Source organism: Homo sapiens, chromosome 16, assembly GCF_000001405.40.
Source record: "Homo sapiens chromosome 16, GRCh38.p14 Primary Assembly".
Taxonomy (NCBI): Eukaryota; Metazoa; Chordata; class Mammalia; order Primates; family Hominidae; genus Homo; species Homo sapiens.
The window spans coordinates 27323406-27349532 of NC_000016.10; the positions used below are offsets into that span (position 1 = coordinate 27323406).

The 26127-nt window shown below is 49.4% G+C and overlaps 1 protein-coding gene across 14 annotated transcripts in view, besides 2 other annotated features; it reads left to right on the top strand.

Moving 5' to 3' along the window:
* IL4R (interleukin 4 receptor) overlaps window positions 1-26127 on the top strand; it is a 51023-nt gene that overhangs the window by 9650 nt on the left and 15246 nt on the right. For 4 of the 14 annotated variants that reach the window (XM_011545826.3, XM_047434067.1, NM_000418.4 and 1 more), the window contains exons 2-6: window positions 6661-6793; window positions 16781-16868; window positions 18716-18854; window positions 21464-21615; window positions 23062-23213. In XM_011545826.3, coding sequence (XP_011544128.1) covers window positions 16799-16868; window positions 18716-18854; window positions 21464-21615; window positions 23062-23213 — 513 coding nt within the window. In that variant the 5' untranslated portion in view covers window positions 6661-6793; window positions 16781-16798. Of the gene's footprint in view, window positions 1-6660; window positions 6794-8983; window positions 10055-16780; window positions 16869-17664; window positions 17909-18715; window positions 18855-21188; window positions 21257-21463; window positions 21616-23061; window positions 23214-26127 lie in introns of those variants that run through there. The other 10 variants (XM_011545825.2, XM_017023211.2, NM_001257406.2 and 7 more) reach the window with 7 other exon arrangements.
* Window positions 1061-1915: an enhancer, noted in NCBI's record as "H3K27ac-H3K4me1 hESC enhancer chr16:27335787-27336641 (GRCh37/hg19 assembly coordinates)". NCBI's record gives its function as "activates a minimal SCP1, AML or CMV promoter by ChIP-STARR-seq in naive H9 embryonic stem cells {active_cell/tissue: H9 hESC(naive)}" and the evidence as "EXISTENCE:reporter gene assay evidence [ECO:0000049][PMID:30033119]".
* Window positions 4063-4727: an enhancer, noted in NCBI's record as "H3K27ac hESC enhancer chr16:27338789-27339453 (GRCh37/hg19 assembly coordinates)". NCBI's record gives its function as "activates a minimal SCP1, AML or CMV promoter by ChIP-STARR-seq in naive H9 embryonic stem cells {active_cell/tissue: H9 hESC(naive)}" and the evidence as "EXISTENCE:reporter gene assay evidence [ECO:0000049][PMID:30033119]".

Consider the following 26127-nt stretch of genomic DNA (forward strand, 5'->3'; position numbering starts at 1 on the left):
AAGCAAAAAAGAGTGGTGTATAAAAAAGCAAGTTTATGACTGCTTCTGTGCCAGGCACTGTGCTGTGCACTCCAGAGCCAAAGGCCTGGGTTCAAATCCCAGCCCACTCACTAGCTGTGCATCCTTAGGCAGGTTCCTGACCCTCTCTGGGCCTCGGCTTCTCCATCTCTGCAATGGAGATGATATTAATTGTATCTGCAATGCTCCTTGGATTGGGTCCATGGTTAAGTGAGTGAGTGAGGCTCAAGGGCTTCTTTTTTTTTTTTTAGAGATAGGGTCTCACTCTGTTGCCCAGGCTGGAGTGCAGTGGCATGATCACAGTTCACTGCAGCTGCGACCTCGTGGGCTCAAGCCATCCTCCTGCCTCATCTCCCTTAGTAGCTGGGACTACAGGCATGTGCCACCATGCCTGGCAATTTTTTTTTGTATTTTTGGTAGAGACGGGGTCTTGCCATGTTACCCAGGCTGGTCTTGAACTCCTGGACTCAAGTGATCTACCTGCCTCAGCCTCCCAAATGGCTGTGATTACAGGTAGGAGCCACCGCGCCCAGCCTTCAAGTGCTTTTTTTTGTTAGTGAGACTGGTACAACCAATGCCAAGGCTGGTGAGCAAAGTTGCACCCAGTTGGGGAGGGGCGAAACCAAGGGCAGAAGGGCCCAGGGCATGGCCTCTCATGGCTGAAGGAAGAGGGGACACGTGGCCAGTCACAGTGACCTCTGCAGACCTCAAGAAGGAGGCCAGCTAGGAGCCATAGCTGTCACTAAGACAGTCAAAATCTAATCAGCACCCTGGCGCCAAGAGGCCATTGTCCGCTGCTCAGGACAGTGAGTGATAGTCGATAACCAGCTCTCTGGAGGTCAGGGCCCCGAGGTGGCTGAGATCTGTGCCTGCATTAGGACATTTAAGGGGACTCCAAGCCAGGATTTGCTAGTGTTTGCCCAGCAGGGAGAGGTGGAAAATTGGGGATGACCAACCAGGCCTCCCTGCTCACAGCCAGGGGAATTCATCCTGTCGTTCTTCCATTCAGCAAATATTCATGGAGCACCTGCTGTGTGCCAGGCACCGTGCTAGGCTCTGGGGAGATGGCTGTGAGCGGGATCGACACTGGCCTTGTGTGAGCTGGCCTTGCAGTAGGGGATATGAGCACCAAACACATAAGGCCCGAGTGTGCAATATGCCACAAAGATTGCAGAGAAATAAAGCAAGATAACAGGTTGCAGAAAGATGGAGGCCAGGCTGGCTGCTGTTCCTGGGTAGGTGGCTTCTGGACACAGTTTCCTCAGGCTCTGTTTCCTCCTTTGGGCCTCTGGAATCTTCTGAAGACAGGCCTGGCTTCCAGGATCCCGGATGGAGTTGCCTGTTGACTGTGTGGACTCAAAGTGTCCACAGTGCGCCGGAGCGCGTGGTCTTCCCCAGCAAATCTGCTTCTCTTCTCGGCTCTCCATCGTGGGAAGGGTCCCTGGGATCCTCCCCACCACCCCAGCCTGAGGCCACTTTCCCTCTGTCCCCGCTCTCCCCAGCCTGCTTTCCCCACCAAGCGCCACCAAGTCCCTGCTGCCTCCTCCTCCCAAACAGGCTCAAACCTGCCCCCTCTTCGCCAGCTCTCAGCTCAGCCCGCTCCTCTCCTGCTTAAGAGCCTTCACTGGCTCCCCACTGCCCTAGAGACAGAGTTTGAGTCTACTGCCATGGCTTGGCAGACGGTGTTGTCCCCGGCCTGCCAACCTTCCAGCTGCCATCCCAGCCAGTCCTTCTCCCCCTTGCTCCAGCCAAGGGCCCCGCTTGTAGGGTGGGAAGTGGGCCGTGCCCTCCCTCCTGCCTGCCTATTCGCTGGGTCTTCCCTCATTCCCTCCCTCACCCCGCCCTCTCATAAGAACCTTCAGAATCTGCCAGACGCAGTGGCTCACGCCTGTAATCCCAGCACTTTGGGAGGCTGAGGTGGGTGGATCACCTGAGGTCAGGAGTTTGAGACCAGCTTGGCCAACATGGCAAAACCCTGTGTCTGCTAAAAATACAAAAAAATTAGCTGGGCGTTGTTGTGGGCACCTGTAGTCCCAGCTACTCGGGAGACTGAGGCAGGAGAACTACTTGAACCTGGGAGACAGAGGTTGCAGTGAACTGAGATCCCACCATTGCACTCCAGCCTGGACTACACAGTGAGACTCTGTCTCAAAAAAAAAAAAAGAACCTTCAGAATCATAAAATGGGTTTAATAATTATACTTATCTCATAGGGAGGGCTTAAAGCACCTAGGCCAGTGTCTGGCACCAAGGAAACACTGTATACCTGTTAAAATAAGAATAAAATAAAATACACATGCTCACTTATTGAGTGCCTGCTGTATGTCGGGCCCCTCCCCGAGAGAACTCTGGTGCATCCCCGATAAAGAAACCTGACCCTCTAGGATGAGGGAGGGTCTTCCCTGAGCGCCTGCTAACAGCCTCCTCTGCTAATCTGAAGTCCTGCAGCTTGCCCAGCAGGCTGGCTTGTCACACGGGCTACCCCCACAGGCCGCCATCTTGGAAAAGGCCAATGGCTGTGGAATCATTCTTGACTCCTATTAGCCTTCCTGTTCTCTCTCCCGCCCCACAGCATCCATCCTGTCAGCAAATCCTGTGGGCTCTGTCTTCAACACAGATCTAGAATTCAGCCCCTTCTCAACCTCCCCATCTCCGCAGCCTGGTGTGAGCCCTGGCACCTCTCTCTGGGGCCAGTGTGGTAGCCTCCTCACTGCTACCCACTTCTACCCGTGCCCCCACCACCCAAGCAAGAGAGGTCTTTTTTAAAGTCTCATCATGTCACTTCTTTGCTCAAAACGCTCTGGCAACTTCTTCCTTGCTCAAATATTTGTTAAAAGAAGAAAGGAATGAATGAATGAATGGCCTGTTTGCATCTGTAATAGCCAGCACATAGGCAGTACTTGGAAAACACCCACAGCAAGAATAAATGAGGAGATGGCTGGACACGGCAGCTCATGCCTGTAGCATGTTGGAAGGCCGAGGCAGGAGGTTTGCTTGAGGCCAGGAGTTTGAGGTTGCAGTGAGCTATGATTGTGCCATAGCACTCCAGCTTGGGCCACAGAGAGAGATCCCCATCTCTACAAAAATTTAAAAATTATTCGAGCATGGTGGTGTGTGCCTGTAGTCACAACTACTTGGGAGGCTAAGGCAGGAGGATCACTTGAGCCCAGGAGTTCAAGGCTGCACTGAGCCGTGACGGTGCGACTGCATTCTAGCCACAGAATGAGACCCTGTCTCTAAAGCAAAAAAGAGAAGGAGAATAAGTGAGGTACTTGAGCAAGTGGGTGAGGATGGTTGAGCCACAGCAGGCCCACAGGGAGGCTGGTGGGTGCTGTTGGTGGAGGGGGCCGATTTGTGTTCCTGGTGGCTGCAGAGCCAGTCTGTTGCCTCCCCTCCCTCCCACTGGCTGGGCTGGGGACGGAGCCAACCAGGCAGATCCCGGGCCATTCTGGGGCCCTGGCCTGGCCTGCCTTACTATCCCAGTGGGGCCACCGACGTGGCTGCCATTTCTGGAAACCCCAGTTCTAGGTAGGTTACTGTCCCAGGAAGAAGTGCATGCCTAGCTTCCTGCCAGCCCAGCCCAGCTGTCCCAGAAGCCAGAGGAAGCTCTGGGCTGGTTTCTTATAAGTAGCATGACTAACTGATTGCGCCACAGGAGCTGAGGTTTCAGGCCAGTTTCTGTCGTGGAGTTTCAGGGGTCAGCGGCTCCAAAGCCCCAGCCCCCACCCGAGGCCCCTGCTGTCCCTGGATTCCTCTCCACATGCCACCTGTCACAGAGGTGCTTGCATCCTGTCTGCAGAACCAGCCCCTCCTCCAAGCCAGGTTTCCTGCCCAGAGGGAAGAAGAGCAGAAGGCCTGTACCGCCCCCTGTGCGCCCCCAGTCCTCCGCCCCCTGCCCCCCTGCCACCCGCTGTGGGTTCGGGAAGAGTCCTGCTGGGTCGCTTCCAGGCTGCTGCTGGCTTCTGACATTTCAAGGCTTAATCACTTAATCTCCCCCGAGTTTTTTAAAAAAAGTGAGTCAAGTGTGTTCTCCTGGTGGCGGGCGTGTTTTCCCAGGCCCATGCTTCTGCTCATTTCCTGGCTGCGGCCTTCACTGACTTTGCTGCTTCCTAACTCTGTGACCTTGGCCTTGTCACTTGCTGTCTCTGGGTCTCAGGCCAATGGGTCTCAGGCCAGTGGGGCTCCCCGGACAAAGTTCCAGGGTTTTGGGGACTGCATTTCAAGGGTCAGCAACCACAGTCCTTAAACACGTGGATTTTGGAGTGACAATGCCTAGGTTATGGTTCTGTGACCACCAGCAAGTGCTCTAGCCTTTTTGTGCCTCAGTCTTCTCATCAGTAAAATGGGAATGTTAATGGCACCTACCTCATAGGGTCGTTGGGAGAACCAAATTGATTAATATATTGTAAGTACTTAGAACAGGGCCAGGCACAAAATAAGTACTGCATATACAGTTAACTATGGACAAAAGCTTGGGACCTGGTTCATGTTTAAAAATGATTATTGAGGCCAGGTGCGGTAGCTCATGCCTGTAATCCCAGCACTATGGGAGGCTGAGGCAGGCGGATCAGGAGGTCAAGAGATCGAGACCATCCTGGCCAACATGGTGAAATCCCGTTTCTACTAAAAATACAAAAATTAGCCAGGTGTGATGGCGTGCTCCTGTAGTCCCAGCTACTCAGGAGGCTGAGGCAGGAGAATCACTTGAACCCACGCGGAGGTTGCAGTGAGCTGATATCGTGCCACTGCACTCCAGACTGGTGACAAAGCTAGGCTCCATCTCAAAAAAAAAAAAAAAAAAGATTGTTGAATTTATTATTGCTGAATTTTTTTTTTTTTGAGACAGAACTTTGCTCTATTGCCCGGGCTGGAGTGCAATGGTGTGATCTCAACTCATTGCAGCCTCTGCCTCTTGGGTTCAAGCGATTCTCCTGCCTCAGCCTCTCAGCCTCCCGAGTAGCTGGGAATACAGGCACCCACCATCATGCCCGGCTAATTTTTGTATTTTTGTAGAGATGTGGTTTCACCATGTTGGTGAACTCCTGACCTCAGGTGATCCACCTGCCTCGGCCTCCCAAAGTGCTGGGATTACAGGCGTGAGCCACTGTGCCCAGCCTATTATTGCTGACTTTTAAACCATTCATTCATTTAATATATGTTTATTGTACACATGCTATGCCTGTGTCAGGCACTGTTTCAGGCACTGGGGATAAAGCAGTGAGCACAGCAGACATAAAGCTCTGCCCTCATGGGGCTTGTGGTCTCTCAGAGGGAGGCAAACAATGCATTTATAGACAAATACATAATTTAAATTTGAGGTTACCTATTATACTCCCAACTTGAAAAACTAGCAGTATATTGAGGTGGCTATTTCACATCTGATGGAGGAATATGTCTTTTGTGAACCATTTATGTTCTTTGCCTATTTTTCTTAAAGGGATGTTTGTCTTATTGATTTGTAAGAACTCTTCATATATTAAGGCCATTAACCGTTCATAATGTAGATTGCTACCTTTTTCTAGTCTTTTGCTTGCTGATATAGTTGGGATGTCATCCTCTCTAAATCTCTTGTTGAAATGTGATCCCCAGTGTTGGAGGTGGGTCCTGGTGGGAGATGTTGGGTCATGGGGACGGGTCCCTCATGGTTTGGTTCTGTCCTTGCCATAGTGAGTGAGTTCTCACAAGATCTGGTTGTTTAGAAGTGTGCGGCACCTCCCTCCTCTCTCTTGCCCTGGCTGTCACCATGTACGCCTGCTCCCCTCTTGCCTTCCCCGTGAATAAAAGCTCCCTGAGGCCTCCCCAGAAGCCAAGTAGATACGGGTGCTATGCTTCCTGTACAGCCTGCAGAGCCATAAGCCAATTAAACCTCTTTTCTTTGTAAATTACTCAGTCTCAGATATTTCTTTATAGCAATGCAAAAATGGACTAACACACTTGAGTTCTGTCTTTTTCTTATGGCATATTTTAATCTAGGCCAGACACAGTGGCTCATGCCTGTAATCCCAGCACTTTGGAGGCCAAGGCGGGTGGATCACTTGAGGTCAGGAGTTTAAGACCAGCCTGGCCAACATGGGGAAACCCTGTCTCTACTAAAAACACAAAAAATTAGTTGGGTGTGGTGGCACACACCTGTAATTCCAGCTACTCGAGAGGCTGAGACACAAGAATCGCTTGAACCCGGGAGGTGGAGGTTGCAGTGAGCCGACATCACGCCACTGCTCTCCAGCTTGGGGAACAGAGCAAACCTCCGTCTCAAAAAAAAAAAAAAAAATCTAGGGAAGTTGAAAACATTTTGCAGTCAAAGCTATCTTTGCTATCTGCATCTTGAAATAAAATAAACATTCATACATGTAACCTCATTAATCTGATTAGAGATAGTGATAAGTACTGGGACAGACATAAACAGGGTGCTGTGATAAGAAGTCACAGGGAGGGCCCGCATTAGTTGAGGGGGGTCAGAGAAGGCTTCTGAAGTGTTTCTGGTGCAAATGCTTGGAAAAGGGAGAGCTGGGAGTGTATCCCAGGGCTGAGGCCAATGGAGGATTGCAGAAGAGGGAGAGGGGATAGGAGGGGAATGTTAGAGGGATAAGCAGGGGAATTGGCTCTTTTCTTCATTTTCTTAAATTAAACTTTTTATTTTCAGATAATTAAAGATTTACACACAGCTGGAAGAAATCATAGAGAAGCCGGGCGTGGTGGCTCATGCCTATAATCCCAGCACTTTTGGAGGCTGAGGCGGGCAGATCACTTGAGATCAGGAGTTCGAGACCAGCCTGGTCAGTATGATGAAACCCCATCTCTACTAAAAATACAAAAATTAGTTGGGCATGGTGGCTTGCCTGTAGTCCCAGCTACTGGGGAGGCTGAGGCAGGAGAATCACTTGAGCCTAGGAGGTAGAGGTTGCAGTGAGCCGAGATCACACCACTGCACTCCAGCCTGGGCAACAGAGTGAGACTCCATCTCAAAAAAAAAAAAAAGAAAAGAAAAAGAAAAAGAAATCACAGAGAGACCCCTGCTTCTATGCTGTTCCCCCCGAGGGCAAGATTGTAGAAATCTGTAATACAGTATCACAGCTGGGATACTGACACTGATATAAGCTACTGACCTTATTGGGATTTCCCGATTTACTTGTACTCATTTTTGTGTTTGCGTACGCATGTGTGGTTTAGTGCTATGCAATTTTATCACGGCATAGGTTTGTGTATGCAGCCAGGATCCAGCACAGTTCTATCATCACAAGGATGGCTCAAATTCTCCTTTTATAGCCACATCCAACTCCCTTCCTGACCCACCCCCTCAGCCCCTGGCACCCACTGATGTGTTTTCCATTTCCATGGTTATGTGATTTCAAGTATGTTACATAAATGGAGTCACGGGGTGTGTACTCTGGGAACTGGCTTTTTTCACTCTAGGGCTTGGATTTTATTCTAAGTCAGAGATGCTTCTCTAATGAGCTGTGAACCCCCTGGGGATCTGTGGCCCCTGTGAAGAAGCCCTTTAGGAGCCAGGGGGCATTGGATGTGTGAGCTGGCCCTGGTCTCATTTCTGATTTTAAAATGGCTCTGGCTGTGATGTGGAGAAGAGGCAGGGTGAGCCTCATCTGCAGCAACTGCTAACTGCCCACATCCCCCCAGACTTCTCAAAAATTTGCCACTCCCCTGCTCAAAGACCCTCAAAAGCTGCCCACTGCTTAGAGGACAGGCCTTTGACCTGAGGTCCTCACTTGGGCTTCAGGGATTCTGTGAACCCCTAAAATGGAATGCAGAATTAAGTGTATGCACCTTGCCAGAAACAGGGTTTGGGGTTTACATTAGATGCTCAGATAGGTCATTGATCCCCAAAACACTAAGGTCTCTGACTTCTAGACAGATAGTAGTTAAGAACCAAAGCTTTGGAGCTTGAGTGCTGGATTTAAGACCCATGACTGTCACAGCTGTGCAACCTCAGACAAATCACTCAGCCTTTCTGTGCCTTGGTTTCCTCATCTGAAAATGGAGAAAATAATATTACCTATTTCATAGATTATTAAATGCATTCTTGTATGTAAAAGATGTAAAAGAAAACTTGGCATGTGGTAAACTCTGTGTGTTTAAGTGAATGGTGAGGCTGCCCAGTATAGGAGGGCAGAGCTTTCCAGGTAAAGACTTTCTAGGCCTCCTGGGATTATCAGGCCCTCTCTGTGTTGGTTGTTGTCATACATGACAGCAGTATTCCTTCCAAAGGGATGCCAAGTTGTGGTTGCACACTGCACTTAGATCCAGTTGATTGACAGCACTGTTCAAGTCAACTGTGTCCTTACTGATTTCTGCCTGCTGGATCTGTCGATTACCAAAAGAGTTGAAGTAATAGTAATAATACTATTATTATCCAATAATAGTATTATTCAGAATAATCACACAGATTTCTCTATTTCTCCTTGCTGCTCTCAGTTTTTGCCTTACATATTTTGACCCTTTGTTGTTAGTTGCCTACACATTAAGGATTGTTATTTACATCTTCTTGGAGAATTAACTCCCGAATCATTATATAGTGCCACTTTTTTTTAATTTAAAAATTTTATTTTTTATTTTTTGAGACAGGATCTTTCTCTGTTGCCCAGGCTGGAGTTCAGTGGCATGAACACAGCCCACTGCAGCCTTAACCTCCTGGGCTCAAGTGATCCTCCTGCCTCAGCCTTCCCAGTAGCTGGGGCTACAGGCATGTGCCACCTCTAATAACTTTTCTTTAATTTACAATAGTATTAGTTTGTTCTCATGCTGCTCTAAGGACATGCCCAAGACTGGGTAATTTATAAAGGAAAGAGGTTTGACTCACAGTTCTGCAGGGCTGGGGAGGCTTCAGGAAACATATTATCATGGCGGAAAGGGAAGCAAAGACATCCTTTTTCACATGACGTCAGGAAGGAGACACGCCAAGGAAAGGGGGGGAAAGCCCTTTATAAAACCATCAGATCTCAGGAGAACTCACTCACTGTCACGAAAACAGCATGGGGGAACTGCTCCCGTAATCTAATCACCTCCCATGAGGTCCTTCCCCCAACACGTGGGGATTACAATTCATATTACAATTCAAGGTGAGATTTGGGTGGGGACACAGAGCCAGGCCATATCACATTATTATTAATTAGTGCCTTCTCTCTCATTTTTTTGATTCGCCTAGGTAGAGATTTATCAATTTCATTGATCTTTTCGAAGAACCAATTTTTGATTTCATTGATTTTCCTCGATTAATTTTCTATTTTTAATTTCATTGATGTATGCTCCAATTTTGTATTTTTTTCTTCTGCTTGTTTTAGACATATATTGCTTTTCTGTTTCTAGTACTCTAGATGGAAACAGATTATTGATTTTAGAACTTTCTTTCTAAGATATACATTCAATAATATAAATTTCCCTCTAAGCACTGCTTTTGCTACGTCTCACCGATTTTGATAGGCTATATTTTCATTTTTATTTAGTTAAAAATATTTTTAGTTTCTCTTGTGATTTCTTCTTTGATCCATATGTTATTCGGAAGTGTGTTTTTAAATCTCCAAATACTTGGAAATTTTCTGGCTTTCTTCCTGCTAGTGACTTCTAATTTGAATCCATTGTGGCCTAAGAGCATATGTTGTGTGATTTCTAATGTTTTCAATCTCTTAAGGTTGTTTTATGTCCCAGAATGTGGTCTGTCTTGGTGATTATTCCACATGAACCTGAGGAGAATGTATATTCTGCTGTTGTGAGATGTAACAGTCTATAAATGGATACCTCTGTTAATATGACCTCGGGTGACTCTTTTTTTTTTTTTAAGTTGCTGCTTCACCATTGGCTTTTGGAGATTTTGCAGATGATAAAATCCTCAGGACTTTTCTGCTGCTCAGTCAGATTTTCTTATCCTACACTTGCGGAACTGTTGTTTGAAATTGACAAGCAGGATGGCCAACTCTGCCCGGCTCATTTTATTTCATCTTATTGGGTTCAGCCTGCAGTTTTAGGAGATGAGATTGAAGGAACTGGTATACTGGAATCCACGGTGGGCTCGGAAGCAAACAAACGTGGGTTCTGATTCTAGCTCTGACCTTTTACCAGCTGTGGGACCTGGTGGATGGGTTATTTGGCCTCTCTGGCCTCAGTTTCCTTAGCTAGACAGTTGGGATAACAGCCTACCTTTCAGGATTCTTGTGTGGATTCGGTGAGGTAATACTTCTAAAGCACCTAGCAAAGTGTCAAGTACAAGGTAAGTGCTGGGCAAGCAGGGATTTTGTTCACACAAAGCCTTGACTCAACATAAGGAGGCTGTTTCCAATGGCTCTGCTTAACTGAGACCTGAGAGTGATTGCTCCATCTGTGGTGGCATATGGGCTGAAACTGCCTAGCAGCATGTCAGAAGTGGGGTGTTCGCAGGACATCCTTGTCCAGGTTGGCAGTTGAGCTTGGCAGGTGACCGCTGAGACCCCTTCCAACTCCACCACTTCAGGAATCTCTTTTTTTTTTTTCTGAGACAGTCTTGCTCTGTCACCCAGGCTGGAGTGCAGTGGCTCAATCTTGGCTCACTGCAAGCTCCGCCTCCCGGGTTCAAGCCATTCTCCTGCCTCAGCCTCCTGAGTAGCTGGGACTACAGGCACCCGCCACCACGCCCAGCTAATTTTTTGTATTTTTAGTAGAGACTGAGTTTCACCATGTTAGCCAGGATGGTCTCGATCTCCTGACCTCATGATCTGCCTGCCTCAGCCTCCCGAAGTGCTGGGATTACAGGCGTGAGCCACCGCGCCCAGCCAGGAGTCTCTTGATTTAGAATGGGAACTTGAAATCATCTCCTCTTGCCGTGTACTTGAACGCGATAACCTGGCACTTATCTTTTTAATTCTTTTACTCACCTGCATCTTTGTTCTTTTTGCCTCTGATGTTCAGGGAAGCCTCTTCTCCCACTGCATCTGTGATCTCTCCTGAAATGTAGCACCCACACATCCCTGAGAAGCTAGCTGCGGCACGTGTGTGTGCACATGGGCATGCGTAAGTCTGGGCGTGCCTTCCACAACAGATTAAGGATATCAATCCTGACGCCATGCTGGGATGTTTTAGTGAATCTTGACAGGGTTGTTGACTCCCCTGTTTCCCTGGAGGACTTTACCATGAAAGTCTTCTGCTGTGTGACTTTGGACAGGCGTCTTGGCCTCTCTGTTTCTCTTTATTCATAATTGAGGCTAAAGTGACACCTTTGCCATCTCTGCCACAGGATACTGTGGGCATCTGTGTAGTTGTGAGAGTAAAAGTTACTAGGACTTGCCAAGGAAATCAGTGTCAGGAACCCACCACCCCATTCCCGCCCCTCCTTTACTTGAGACTTTACTTTTGTAACTCTCAGCAAGGAAGACGAGTTCAACCTTTGAGCCGATACAGAGCCTTCCCCTAGAGAGAGCTTTGCAGCCTCATGCTGAGCCAGTTAGGGGCCCCACATCATGTCCAAAATGAATTTAATCAACAAACAGTTACTGAACACGTCCTATGTGCCAGGCACCGTTGTAGATACTGGGGACTCGGCAGTGAATGGGACAGACCCTGGCTGTCAGGATGACAGACAATTTAAAAAGGGACAGATGTCCCACGCTGGCTTGTCCTTTGCACCCCTGGCACTTCGTGAGGAGCAGCGGCCAGTTCTTGTATATAGACTGGCCCTTGGTGTACATTTGTCTGACGTTTCCAAATGATGTATGCATCCTTGGCAGGAACCCAGGAAAAGACATGCTGTGCTCTTCTCAGGAATTGTTTCAGGGAGGTGATGTTGGGGATTTGTCCCATTCTTGTTGGTGAGTTTAGATCACTTGGTGAAGGTGGTGTCTGCCAGGTTTCTGTATTGTAACGTTCATTGATATGTATTTTCACTCATTAGTTAATATACAATACAAGTTTTGCAGGGAGTTACTTTGAGGCTGTCATAGTAAAATAGAGCTTTCCCTTCTTCCCTGTTTATTTATTTATTAGAGATGAAGTCTGACTCTGTTGCCCAGGCTGGAGTGCGGTGGTGCGATCATAGCTCACTGCAGCCTCCAACTCCCAGGCTCAAGCCATCCTCCTGCCTCAGCCTCCCAAGAAGTTGGGATTACAGGCACACACCACACTGCACCCGGCCTCCTCCATTTATTGATCTATGTCAATACAGACTCCTGGACTTTAACTCCAAGGGTTACAAGTGGATACCATAATATTCATTTTGATGCTCAAAATGTGCCTGTTTTGTCCAGGTCAGGCTAGCTGCTGAGTACTTCCTTATTGTCTGGCACAAGAATTCCAAGCCTATCTGGTACTTTTCCTTCTCCTGGAATCAGCTATTTCTCTAAGGCGCTCTGGTTCCTTTCAGTACAGAATAGTATTTAGAAGCCAAGACCTGGTCACTAGGAAGGCATGATAATCAAATGTGATGAATGATCTTGGATTGCATCCTGGACGTATAAAGGGCATTATTGAGGCAATTAGCAAAACATAAATAGGGGCCGTGGATGAGATAGTGGTGATGCATCACTGTTAATTTCCTGATTTCGATGGTTGTATTGTGATTATGCAGAGAATGTCCTTGTTTTTCTGACATGCACACTGAGGTATTGGGGTAATTTATTCATTATGGAGATATGTGAGTGTGTTTATGTGTCTCATACACAGATGTTTCTTAATGATGGGGTTTTGTCCCCATAAACTCATCATAAGTTGAAAATATTATTAAGTCAGAAATGTACTTCATACTCCTAACCTACTGAACGTTATAGCTTAACTTAGCTCGGAACACTTGCATTAGCCTACAGTTGGGCAAAGTCATCTAACACAAAGCCTGTTTTGTTATAAAGTGTTGAATAGCTTGTGTAGTTTATGGAATACTGAGAGTGAAAAACAGAATGGTCGTATGGGTGCTCCAAGTACTGCTTCTACTGAACACCCATTGATTTTGCACCATCATAAATTAGGGGAAGAGAGGAAAAGCACGCGTAAGGGAGGAAGGGCCGGGTACAGTGGCTCACGCCTGTAATCCCAGCACTTTGGGAGACCAAGGTGGGCAGATCGCTTGAACTCAGGAGTTCGAGACCAGCCTGGGCAACATAATGAGACCCCATCTCTATCAAAAATACAAACACTTAGCCAGGCCTCATGGTGCACATCTGTGGTCCCAGCTACTCAGGAGGCTGAGGTGGGAAGATTGCTTGAGCCCGGGAGGTGGAGGTTGCAGGGAGTCGAGGTTGTGCCACTACACTCTAGCTTGGGTAACAGAGTAAACTCTGTCTCAAAAAAAAAAAAAAAAAAAAGGAAAGGGAGGAAGGGAAGGTCCCTCCAGGTGGAGGGGACAGAGAGAGAAAAGGCATGGAGGTGGGACTGAGTTTGGTGTGTTTAAGAAGTGCAGGTGGCAGCCGGGCTCAGTGGCTCACGCCTGTAATCCCAGCACTTTGGGAGGCTGAGGCAGGCGGATCACCTGGGGTCGGGAGTTCAAGACCAGCCTGACCAGCATGGAGAAACCCTGTCTCTACTAAAAATACAAAATTAGTTGGGTGTGTGGCCCATGCCTGTAATCCCAGCTACTCAGAAGGCTGAGGCAGGAGAATCGCTTGAACCTGGGAGGCGGAGGTTGCAGTGAGCCGAGATCGCGCCATTGCACTCCAGCCTGGGCAACAAGAGTGAAACTCTGTCTCAAAAAAATAAAATGAAATAAAATAAAATAAAATGTTAAAAAACAAAAAAGAAGAAGTGTAGGTGGCAGGCGTAGGATGCATGGGTGCTGGGCCCAGGTGGAGAGGGAGGTGGAGCCCTGCTGGGGGGAGGGCCTTCAAGTGTGCCCAAGTCACTCGGAGAGCATCCAGCAGGGGCCTAGAGCTCCTGAGGTGGCCTTAAGTTCTTATGATGCCCCAGACACTGCACACAGTGCTTCAGAGGCAACACCTCCGTTCCTGTTTGCTGCAAGCCTGTGAGGTTAGCCTTGGAACCATTCCTGTGCCACAGAAACACAGCCAGAGCACCAAAAGAGAAATGCTGTTAATGGCAAAGAACTACTCACTAGCAGAACAAAGCCTGGGAGCTGCTTTTTTGAATAAGATCCCAGGAGAGAGACCCAAGCGGGAAGTGAAGGATGGGCACTTGAAATGTTGCAGGGAATATAACCCAGCGCGTGCTGTTTTCTTTTTTTCTTTTTCTTTTTTTTTTTTTTCTCTTTTTGCAACAGGGTCTCACTGTGTCGCCCAGCCTAGAGTGCAGTGGTGCCATCTCGGCTCACCACAACCTCCACCTCCTAGGCTCAAGCGATTTTCCTGCCTCAGCCTCCTGAGTAGCTGGGACTACAGGCACGCGCCACTACCGCCCGGCTAATTTTTTTTTGTATTTTTGGTAGAGACAGGTTTCACCATGTTGGCCAGGCTGGTTGTGAACTCCTAAAGTGCTGGGATTACAGATGTGAGCCACCACGCCCGGCCCCAGTACACACTTTTTGGAGGGTATTTGACGTTATGTACCAGGAGTGCTGGGGAAAAGTACACACTTGACTCCGTGAGATTCTGCTTCTTAGCATTTTTTTCTTTTCCTTTTTTTTTTTTTTTGAGACAGAGTCTCACTCTGTCACCCAGGCTGGAGTGCAATGGCATGGTCTCGGCTCGCTGCAACCTCCGCCTCCTGGGTTCAAGCAATTCTCCCACCTCGGCCTCCCGTGTAGCTGGGACTACAGGTGTGCGCCACCACACTTGGCTAATTTTTGTATTTTTAGTAGAGACAGGGTTTCACTATGTTGGCCAGGCTGGTCTCAAACTCCTGACCTCGTGATCCGCCCACCTCAGCCTCCCAAACTTTCTGTTTTCTTTTCTTTTCTTTTTTTTTTATGACAGGGTCTTGCTGGAGTGCAGTGGTACGGTCTTGGCTTACTGCAGCCTTGACATCCCAGGCTCAAACGATCTTCCCACCTCAACCTCCCAAGTAGCTAGGATTACAGGCATGCACCACCGTGCCTGGCTGATTTTGTTTAATTTTTGTAGAGATAAGGTCTCACTCTGTTGCCCAGGCTGGTCTTGAACTCCTGGGCTCAAGCCATCCTCCCTCCTTAGCCTCCCAAAGTGCTGGGATTACAGGTGTGAGCCACCACACCTGGCTTCTGAACATTTTTTTCTTAATGATAATAGCTGGTGCTATGGGCTGAATGTGTTCCCCCAAATTCATATGTTGAAACTTCATCCCATTGTAGTCATATTAAGAGATGGGGCCTTTGGAGAAGTGATTAAGTCATGAGGGCTCTGTGGTTGGTCATGAATGGGGTTAGTGCCCTCATGAACGGGCTGAAGGAAGTGTGTTTGCCCCTTCTGTCATATGAAGACACAGCAGCATGGCATCGTCCGTGAGGAATGGGCTCTCACCAGATCTGGATCTCCTAGTGTCGTGATCTTGGACTTCCCAGTCTCCAGAACTATGCATTAGAAAATTTATTTATTTATTATTTATTTATTTTGAGATGGAGTCTTGCTCTTGTCGCCCAGGCTGGAGTACAATGACGCGATCTCGACTCACTGCAACCTCTGCCTACCCCAGTTCAAGCGATTCTCCTGCCTCAGCCTCCAGAGTAGCTGGAATTACAGGTGCCCGCCACCACACTCGGCTAGTTTTTGTATTTTTAGTACAGACGGGGTTTCTCCATGTTGGCCAGGCTGATCTCGAACTCCTGACCTCAGGTGATCCACCCACCTTGGCTCCCCAAAGTGCTGGAAATACAGGTGTGAGCTACTGTGTCTGGCCTGAATAATAAAATTTAAAACAATTTTTCAAAAATTCACCATGAGGTCTCACTATATTCCCTAGGCTGGTCTCAAACCCCTGGACTCCAAGTGATCCACCCCACCTTCCCGAGTAGCTGGGACTAGAGATGCACACCATTGCACCCAATAGAGCAATACGTTTCTGTTCTTTGTAAATTACCTGCTCTAAGGTATTTTTGTTATAGCAGCCTATATGGACTAAGCTGACTTGTAACGTTACTTGAGACTTTAAAGTGTTCCGGTCACTGTTGGAGGGCTCTGTCTGTGTTAGCTCATTTAATCCCCACAACACCTCAATCAGATGGGGCTATTCTTAGTCCCACTTTATAGATAAGGAAACTGAGGCATGGAAGCACAGCTTGCTCAAGGTTCACATCTAGTCAGTGACAGAGCAGGTATTTAAACCTCAGGAAATAATCAGAGAAACATGTGTAGAGGGTTGTCCAAGGAAGGCCACATCCAGAAGCATCTCCCAGGACAGTTGTTGTGTAGCTCACCCTCTGGACTTTGTGGGTCTGGGTGTTGTTTCATGATTATAGAGAGAGCTCTGTGAACGTGGAGGACCTGTTGTCGGCAGAGACACAAATGGCCAGGGCATGGCTGGGCAGCCGCAGTGGCTCAGGCCTGTAATCCCAGCACTTCGAGAAGACCAGAGGGGCAGATCATGAGGTCAGAAGTTCAAGACCAGCCTGGCCAACATGGTGAAACCCCGTCTCTACTAAAAATACAAAAATTAGCCAGGTGTGGTGGTGGGCACCTGTAATCCCAGCTACTCGGGAGGCTGAGGCAGAAGAATCGCTTGAACCCGGGAGGTGGAGGTTGCAGTGAGCTGAGATTGCACCACTGCACTCCAGCCTTGGAGACAGAGCGAGACTCTGTCTCGGAAAAACAAACAAACAAGCAAACAAACAAACAAATAAATGGCCAGGGCAGGGGAGGGTTGCATATTGAATAAGATGAGCTCTGCTGGAAGCACAGGTCAGCACTAACCTGCTTCCTCTCTCTCTGCAGGTGCCTTGGCATCTCCCAATGGGGTGGCTTTGCTCTGGGCTCCTGTTCCCTGTGAGCTGCCTGGTCCTGCTGCAGGTGGCAAGCTCTGGTAAGTCACCACTTCTCAATCATTCATTTGTTGGCTATTAATGGCGTGCCAGGGTCCTGCAGTATGTCACCTGGCCTTATGGAGATTACACTGCAGTGGGAGGGGACAGCCAATGACAAGTGGCCCTGATTATCAGTAAATTCTAAAGATTGTTAGAAAGTGATGGGAGCCGGGTGCAGTGGCTCACACCTGTAATCCCAGCACTTCAGGAGGCCGAGGCAGGAGGATCGCTTGAGCCCAGGAGTTCGAGGTCAGCTTGGGCAACATAGGGAGACCTTGTCTCTACAAATAATAAAATATTAGCCAGGTGTGGCAGTGCACGCCTGTAGCCCCAGCTACTCAGGAGGCCGAGGTGGGAGGATCCCTTGAACTCAGGAGGTCAAGGCTGCAGTGAACTGTGATCGCGCCACTCCACTCCAGCCTGCGTGAGAAAGTGAGACCCTGTCAAAAAAAAAGAGAAGGTGATGGGGAAAGAACACAGAACAGCATAAGAGGGGGTTGGGGAAGCTGGGTGGAGTGGGGGGGATTGCAGTTGAAAGTAGGGAAGTCAGGGAAGGCCTCATTGAGCTGACTTGGAGGAAGCGGGAACCGTGCAGATGTCTGGGGAAGGCTCATTCTTGGCAGAGAGGCCCTGCACTGAGCCTGGCGGGAGGGTTGAGCACAGGAGGGAATGTGGTGGAGGAGAGTGAGCAGCAGGAGGGAGCAGTGAAGGTCAGCAAGGTGACAGAGTGGCTGAATCAAAAAAGACCTTGCAGTGTTTGAGCAGAGGATCCATATCATCCATTATGTTCCAAAGGACTCTTCAGGATGCCGTGTGGAGAAAGGAAGAGGGTGGAAGCCAGGAGGTCTGGAGGGAGGTCTGGAGTGGAGGAGATGAGAGGCTCCGGATCCCTCTGGGAGGTAGATTTGAGGACAGATTGGAATTGAGGTGAAAGACAGAGAAAGAGAAGTGGCCAGGATGACTCCAAGATTTCTGACCTAAACTACTGGGAAGGACGCGGTTGTCATTTCTGAAATGCAGAAGGATGCCAGAAGAGAAGGTACTTTGGGGAGGGGCGGGAATCAGGAGTTAGTTTTGGACATGAGATAAGCTTGGAATATTTATTTGCTATCTAAGACAGCTCCTTAACATGGTAAGCCCTTATGCAAGTTGTTGTCAGCTGAGATGGGCGTGGCACTGAGCATGGGAGCATGGAGGCGCCTGAGTGGTCTCATGCTCAGGTGGTTTAGCAAACTCAGTGTACATCCTGCCAATTCCAGTCCTGCCATGGCCACTGACAAGCTAGGAGGGCGCTGAAAGGAGAAGGACCCCGATGTCTCCTCCAGCCCATCCATCTCCTCTCTCCCATTGGCCAAACCCAACCGGAAACTAAAGGCCAAGGGTACCCGGTGATGAAGACTGTGGTATCAGCCTCCTGAGCACAGAGAGGGCAGAAAGGGGTGGAGACAAAGAGGGGCGCAGATAGTGGGCAAATGGGGAAGTGGCACTTCCCCTAGCTCGAGGGCAGAGGCTTGGTGTGATGGAATGGCACTCCTTAAACTGCTACATATTTTCCCTTTAATTTGGCCAAGAACAAGTTGTCAAGTTTGTGTGAGATAAAGGTGCACTTGGTTCGTTCTTGTCTAATGGCCCCCGCACCCATGGGTATTTCTTCAGCTTCCACAGTCATCCCGACACTAGCTGGGAAGCTCCAGCAGCCCTGGTCCTGGCCCCAGCTCTGTGGGCGCTGGCCCTCAACTTTGCCTGCACTGTGCTTTTGTGCTATTCCCCTTGGTCCTGTTTGGGTGCAAGTCCCCCTCACGCATTGAGTTCCTGGGCCGCTCAGGCTGCTCCTGTGTCTCCCCAGGGAACATGAAGGTCTTGCAGGAGCCCACCTGCGTCTCCGACTACATGAGCATCTCTACTTGCGAGTGGAAGATGAATGGTCCCACCAATTGCAGCACCGAGCTCCGCCTGTTGTACCAGCTGGTTTTTCTGCTCTCCGAGTAAGCCTGCGCTGGAGCTGGAGGTTTGGGGAGGTTGTGCCCAAAGGGTTTGCCCCAAGAGTGAGCTGGGTCCAGGTGGTGCGCTGGAGTGCAGGATGCTGAGTATGGTTTGCTGCTGTTTATATGGTGTTAGAGGGGAGGTCCCATCTCCAGGGACATGTTATGTAAGATACAGTGGAGCGCATGGTGGGAGTGTTGGTCCACGTGGCACATGGATACGGCTGGAATACTGGACTAGACCAGCAGTTCTCACACTTTTTGGTCTCAGGACCCTTTTTCACACTTAAAAATGAGTGAGGACCCAAAGGGCTTTGGTGTAGGTAACACATCATTCTATGTTTACCTAATTAGAACTTGCAATGAAGAAATGGTGTAATTTTTAAAAAATTAAAACAATTAAAAATTTTTTTTCTTACTGAAATGGAGGTCTCACTGTGTTGCCCAGGCTGCTCTCAAACTCCTGGGCTCCAGTGATCCTCCTGCCTCCGCCTCCCAAAGTGCTGGGATTACAAGCGTGAGCCGCTGTATCCGGCCCAAAATGGAGAAATTTTAAGTCCCAACAACATGCAAGCCCGCATTCAACAAATCTTCAGATCAATTACATGATCACAGGTCATGTAGCCTCTAGAAAATTCCACTGTACGCCAGTGAGAGAGAGTGAAAAGGCAAATAACGTCCCTGTATTATGATGAAAAGAGTTTTACCTGGTGGGCCCAGACCACACTTTGAGAACCACTGGACTAGACCCTTGATTGAGGAGTACGGTGTTGAGAGTGGAGTCCTCTGTGATGGTGGATGGACCAGGACACATGGCATAGGAGTCAGGTGGTTCCCTGGGCTACTCCATGGTGCACAGGATGCTTCGTTACACTGGTGCCCAGGACATAATCACGTACACAAGACACACAGTTACGGGGCAGACTGGGGATATACGGCACACCAGCATGCAGCGTTCACCAGTAAAGGTGGTATTCCATGATTATTCTAAGGTAGATGGGCTGTGCTTTGTTTCCATTGGCTTAGTCCAGGGATTGGCAAACTATGGCCCGTGAGCCAAATCCGGCCCACTGCTTGTTTTTGTAAATAAAGTTTTATTGGAACACACTGGCTGCTGTAGTTGTAACAGAAACTGCATGGCCCTCCTTTATGTTTTTTGTTTGTTTGTTTGTTTGTTTGTTTTCTTTGAGACAGAGTTTCGCTCTTGTTGCCCAGGCTGGAGTGCAGTGGCACAATCTCGGCTCACTGCAACCTCTGCCTCCCGGGTTCAAGCGATTCTCCTGTCTCAGCCTCCCGAGTAGTTGGGATTAATGGTGCCTGCCACCACACCCGGCTAATTTTTCGTATTTTTAGTAGAGACCGGTTTTCATCATGTTGGCCAAGCTGGTCTCGAACTCCTGAACTCAGGTGATCCACCCGCCTCAGCGTCCCAAAGTGCTGGGATTACAGGCATGAGCCACTGAGCCCGGCCTCCTCCTTTATCTTAATTGAAATAATTCAGAAATGGAAAGTCAAATACTGCATGTTCTCACTTATAAGTAAGAGTTAAATAATGTGTACACATGGGCATTATTCCATGTACCATGGAATAACAGACATTGAAGACTTGGGAGGGTGGGAGAGGGGTGAAGGAAGAGAAGTTACTTAATGGGCATAGTGTACACCATTTGGGTGACGGACCCACCAGAACCCCAGACTTCACCACTAGGCAGCATATCCAGTGAGAACAGATCTGAGGCTTGCCATCAAAATTGCACTTGTAAGGCCGGGCACTGTGGTGGCTCGCGGCTGTAATCCCAGCCCTTTGGGAGGCCGAGGTGGGCAGATCACTTGAGGTCAGGAGTTCGAGACCGGCCTGGCCAACATGGTGAAGCTCCATCTCTACTAAAAATACAACAATTAACTGGGTGTAGTGGCGCACACCTGTAATCCCAGCTACTAGGGAGGCTGAGGCGGGAGAATTGCTTGAGCCCAGGAGGTGGAGGTTGCAGTGAGCCGAGATCACATCACTGTACTCTAGCCTGGGTGACAGTGAGACTTTGTCTCAGGAAAAAAAAACAAAAACAAAAAACAAAAAACTCGTACCCCCTAAATTTATACAAATAACCAAAAAAAAAAAAAAAAAAGGAAATTGTGTGGCCTTTGAAGTCCAAAATATTAACTATCTGGCCTGTTACAGAAAAAGTTTGCAGACCCCTGGCCTAGCCCGTGAGATGTGGGTTGGCTGTTAAGGTGGAACATTGGAATTATCTTACGATGGCCAAACTGTGCGATGCAGAGCTTATGTTGTTCTAAATTAATTAGTGCCACCGGTTCTTCCCTTTCATGGGCTTTCAGGAACAAGCTAAGTCCCAGGACCAGGGCCGGCAGCTAGGCAGGTGTGAGGAGCATCCTTGGTGCATGTGGTAAGAGGCTGTGGCCAGCAAGAGAGGCAACCCTAGTCGGCTGCCCCAGCACACCCTGGCCGCTCCCAAGCCCCCAGATCTGTCCTCACATCCGTGATCGGGAAGCTGGAAGAGTCTGATGCGGTTCCTGGAGGCATGTCCCGGACACAGCTGTGGGGCCCAGCCAGCCTACAGGTGACCAGCCTAACCCAGCCCCTGTGTCTGCAGAGCCCACACGTGTATCCCTGAGAACAACGGAGGCGCGGGGTGCGTGTGCCACCTGCTCATGGATGACGTGGTCAGTGCGGATAACTATACACTGGACCTGTGGGCTGGGCAGCAGCTGCTGTGGAAGGGCTCCTTCAAGCCCAGCGAGCATGGTGAGCAGGGCGGAGTGCGGCAGGGGTGGCTGGGTGTGTTCCCACAGCTGCCTGGGCTGAGGGTGGGGTGGGCAGGGGAGGAGGTGGGGTCATAGCAACAGCAGGAGGAAGCCGCCTGTATTTTCCCAAATCTGATGGGATTCCTGCCCCTGCCTGGGCCTCAGTCCTCCCACCTTTGAAACGGAGCTGGTCGCAGTAGACCACCAAGCCCCCTTCAGCCCAGCTGTTTCCACCCCTGAACTTAAGTGCCCAGGAAGGCGTATTGAGATGAGGTGTGCTTGCTGGAAGGCATGCCTGCTGCTGATTGAAAACCGAACTGGGAACATTCCTTCCATTCTGTGTCCACTGGTCAGCTGCTGCGGCTTTGGATGGTCTTGACCGTGGAAGGCTGACCTTCTTCTGGTACCCGGAGTCCCTGCAGGAATCCCCCTTGAGCTTGCTGGGCTGTGGTGACAGGAGTTTAAAACATGCGTTGTATTCCAGTGATGCATGATATGACATGCATCACAGGAATAAAAACCTGAGGTCTCATGGATATGATTGCTTCAAAGGAGACCAAGTTTTAAAACAGATGAATCAAAATAAAGAAAAATACTCAGTAAATCATCATAAAGTACAGAGATGTGGCCAAAGGTGTGAAGGATGCAGCTGTAAAAGCTGAAGTTTGAGGCCGGGTGTGGTGGTTCATGCCTATAATCCCAGCACTTTGGGAGGCCGAGCCCAGCGGATCACCGGAGGTCAGGAGTTCGAGACCAGCCTGGACAACATGGTAAAACCCCGTCTCTACTAAAAATACAAAAAATTAGTCTGGCATGGTGGCAGGCGCCTGTAATCCCAGCTACTTGGGAGGCTGAGGTAGGAGAATGGCTTGAACCCAGGAGAAGGAGGTTGCAGTGAGCTTAGATCATGCTACTGCCCTCCAGCCTGGGCGACAGAGTGAGATTACGTCTCAAAAAAATAAAAATAAATAAAAATAAAAAGATTTTTTAAAAGGCTGAAGTTTGGGTTACTTTGGCTCATACACTTTGCCTTCACTGTAGAAAGGTGGTTAGTAAAGACCAGGCGCGGTGGCTCATGCCTGGAATCCCAGCACTTTGGGAGCCCAGCGCAGGCAGATCACTTGAGCCCTGGGCTATTGAGGCTGCAGTGAGCTGGGATTGTGCCACTGCACTCCAGCCTGGGCAACAGAGTGGGACCCTGTCTCAAAAAAGAAGAAAAAAAGGGTAATTAATAAACACTAAAGTTCTATGTAGAATTTTAGCAACATTATTGTTATTATAATCTTCTTTGCTATGGCTCTGAATCTGTGTGGTGCTCCAGAAGTATGCTATGGAGGTTTTGTCGACCAAAAATCTGGGTGGTGGCTGTGGTTTGTAGGCCGGGGCTGGGCTGGGTGATGGGGGAGTCACTGCATAGATCCTCACATAGAGGCCGCTTCTCCCGCAGTGAAACCCAGGGCCCCAGGAAACCTGACAGTTCACACCAATGTCTCCGACACTCTGCTGCTGACCTGGAGCAACCCGTATCCCCCTGACAATTACCTGTATAATCATCTCACCTATGCAGTCAACATTTGGAGTGAAAACGACCCGGCAGATGTGAGTGGGCATGCTTTGACGTTTTTCTGTGACCTCTGGGGAACAGGGTGGGTGACCAGCAGAGGCCCAGTCCCTGGAGCCAGGAGCCTGGGAGGCAAGCCCTGGGGCTGGATAGCAAATCCCAGGAGCTAGAGACCTGGCTTCTCACCTGGCTCTGCACTAGGCAAGTCCCTTTGCTTCCTGGCCCCCCACCCCTCACATCAGAGAAGGGGAGTTATCTCTGCATGCCGCTCCTCCTCTGTAAAGGTAGGGCTGTGGGCCACATCTGTGTTTCCCAGTTTGGGGGACACAAGTGATCGTAGGTGGCACATTGACAGCTCACTTGAATAACCCTATTATTGAAGAGAATAATACTGACTCAAGAGACAGTGACCCGTGTCAGTTCCCTTTTGAGGCCAACGGGTTAAGGAGGAAGTCCCCATACAGCTGACTCGTTTACTAATTCCTCTTAATGAAGAGAGCAGAGGCCACACCCCAGGCTTAGACTTTCCCAAGAAAACAAGATCAGTTTGTTGGTTGTTCCCCATGGAAGCTGGTCCTGACATTCCCTTCACAGTAGTGTTGGTGGAGTTTTTGTTGTTGTTTGTTTTGAGACAGAGTCTCACTCTGTCACCCAGGGTGGAACACAGTGGCGTGATCTTGGCTCACTGCAACCTCCGCCTCCTGGGTTCTAGCGATTCTCCTGCCTCAGCCTCCTGAGCAGCCGGGACTACAGGCACCTGCCACCGTGCCCAGCTAATTTTTGTATATTTAGTAGAGATGGGGTTTCACTGCGTTGGCCAGGCTGGTCTCAAACTCCTGACCTCAGATGATCCACTCGCCTTGGCCTCCCAAAGTGCTGGGATTACAGGTGTGAGCCACCGCACCTGGCCAGTGGAGTTCCTTCTTAAGTACATGTATTGACATCTTTAAAAAGGGCGAGAGGATTTACAGGAAACTATCAGGTCAGTAATGGCAGGGGCCGTCCACAGTGGGTGGCTGAGTCCCCCTATTTTTCTGCTGGTGTGCAGGGAGGTCATTTCCTGCCACCCATGTTTCCCCACCCTGAATCCACCTTCCTCACATTCCCATTGGAGGGACAATCTCTGGACATATGGGACCTGGGGTCCCACAGGGCTGCAATCCAATGCCTGCTGTGCCACTCGCCAGCTGTGTGATGTTGGGCATATCCCATAACCTCTTTGTGCCTCAGTTTCCTCATCTGTAACACAGGAGTGACAAGAGCACCCGCCCACAGGGCTATGACAGTACAAGGTGTGTGATACAGATGAGCTCCCCTGTTTGGCCCACATGTGTCCTAAAAGCCATGTGCCCTTTCTCTTGAGTGCCCCAGGCCACAGAGATCCCCATCTGCCCGCTGTCCCACACACTGGTCTGTCATTTGTTCCTTGAGGTTTGTGAGGGCCGGCTCTGTGCATCCCAGGGGCCCAGGCTGGGCCTGGTTGGCTCTCAGGGAGCAGGCACCCGCCACCTTAAGCTCCCATGCTGGTGTCTGTCACTGCTTCCTCTCAATCTGGCCAAGCCAGGGGTGTCGATTTATATCTCTCAGGTCTGGTTTCCCCTTTGGCACTGGGCCAGGTATGGGGAAAGAGCAGGAATGGGGCAGTTGGCTCACACAGCAGAGGCTCAGAAAGCGGGGGGCATGGGGGGAAGGAGTGCACAGATGCTAGAGAGTGGGGCAAGTTTTGTTTGGTCAATAAATCTCCTTCTCATGCCCCAGGCCTGTGCAAGACCTACAGAGAGTCCCAAGGATGGGCTGGGGGGAAGAGAAAGGTACCACCTTCAGAGTCCAAAGATATGTTATTTAATATTTTCATATTTCTAGATCTGCCTTCAGGCATGGCTGGATCCAGCTTCTAGGAACCTGTCCAGCTCTGCGCCCTGCTTTATTCTGTACTGGCTTCGTTTTTAGGCAGGCTCTTCCCTCATGTAGTGGCAGATATGCCTACTAGTTGCTCCAGGCCTACATCCCAAAGCCACAGTGGGAAAAGGGTTTTTTTTCTTGACGGTTCTAATAAGAGTCCTAAGGCTGCTGCTCAGTGGCCTGGCTTCGATGCTGTGCCAGCCTCTGAACCAATCACTGGCTGTGGGTGGAGAGAGGGTGCTGGTGGAGGGCCCTGCTTGTCCAGGGAGGAGTCACATACCTGCCTCTAGGGCTGCAGGTGGGCTCAGCTCCATCCAAACCAGATGAACTGAAAATAAGGCAGGAGTGGCTTCCCCAGGGGAAACTGGGGAAGAGGAAGCAGGACTGTGCTGGCTAAAATGCCAGCCAGGTTTAAGACGTGGCACCAGATGCCAGTCATGGGATTGGATTGGTCAGCATGCCTGGGCTATGGCTTAGGGGTATGTTGGTGCTCAGGGATGCCACAGGCCTCCAGATACCAGGTCTGAGGCAGAAGAATGAAGTCCAGCTTCTCTTGTGGGTGGAACAGTGGCAACTGAGATACCCCATCTCTCCCTTCCCAAGAACAGAGCTGAACATAAAGAATTTAGTGATTGGCCAGAGCTTGGCCACATGCTCCCCTCTGATGAATGATAGGCCAGGTGATGGGATTGGCACAATTGGCTTAGACTAATGAGGGTTGGCCCTGGAGTTGCAGGCAGTGGAGTTCTGTCCTAAGCAGTGGGCACCTAAACCCGATGGCATAAAAGCTGGGCGGGTGTCCACCTGCATCTGCCACAGCACTATAGGCACCAACTGTGGCTCATACTGAGTGGGATAAATTCCAGAAAGAAACATTAGGAACTTACTATAGAATTTTGGGGCTAGAGCTACTCATTCATTCCCCTAGATAATTTCTAGGCAAGGTTCCATAGTGGAGGGGGAGTTTTGGCTTGGGCATTGAAGGATGCATAGGAGTTTTCTAGATGGGGAAAGAAGGGAACGGTAGACCAGGCAGAGGGAACTGCATGA